The sequence below is a fragment of the Homo sapiens genome, chromosome 16 (genome assembly GCF_000001405.40).
Source record: "Homo sapiens chromosome 16, GRCh38.p14 Primary Assembly".
Classification (NCBI taxonomy): domain Eukaryota; kingdom Metazoa; phylum Chordata; class Mammalia; order Primates; family Hominidae; genus Homo; species Homo sapiens.
The window spans coordinates 21,564,501-21,565,476 of NC_000016.10; positions in this window are offsets into that span (position 1 = coordinate 21,564,501).

The following is a 976-nucleotide window of genomic DNA, read 5'->3' on the forward strand; positions in this document are numbered from 1 at the left end:
ACAGAGCAAGACTCTGTCAGAAAAAAGAAAGAAAAGAGAGAGAGAGAAAGGAAGAGGGGAAGGGAAGGAAGGGAAGGAAGGAAGAGAGAGAGGAAGGAAGGAAGAGAGAGAGAGGAAGGAAGGAAGGAAAAGGAAGGAAGGAAGGGAACAGAAGATTAGTTGAGCATAGTGGCTCAGTGCCTGTAATCCCAGCACTTTGGGAGGCCGAGGTAGGCAGATCATTTGAGCCTAGGAGTTCAAGACCAGCCTGGGAAACATGGCAAAATCCCATCTCTACAAAAAATAGAAAAATTAGCTGGGCATTGTGGCATGCATCTGTAGTCCCAGCTACTTGTGGGGCTGATGCAGGAGGGTCACTTGAGCCCAGGAGGCAGAGGTTGCAGTGAAGTATGATTATGCCACTGCACTCCAGCCTAGGTGGCAGAGTGAGACTCTGTCTCAAAAAAAAAAAAAAAAAAAAGAAGATTGTGAGCAAAAATTGAATGCAATTTTTTTCATAAGCAGAGGTGTAATGGTTATTATTACAAAAGATGATATTAAATTTATTTATGTATTATCTCTTTGCCTCCACCAGAATGTAAGCTTTGTTGAAGGCAAGGATCATTGTTGATTTATTTACTCTGTATCCCAGGCATCTAAAACAGTAAGTGTGCAATAAATATTTGTTGAATGAATCAAAGCATAAGCAAGGCTTCAGATTCATTTTTCTATCAGAGATTCATTTAAAAATGTTAAGGAAATGAGAGGTGAAGACATCCTAAAGGCATAATACTCAAAGTAGTCAGTAGGTTCATTGATAACCCAGAGGAAAATATATAATATTATAGAGGAAAAGAAATTCTCTGAAATCATGGCATCTCTCCTAGCTTGGGATAACATTTTAGCAGAAAGACCGAAGAACTCTTCCAAGAAACATCAAGCAATTAAATGAAGTAGTAGAAAAATCACCAGTACTTTAAAGTAGATGAAGCCATTA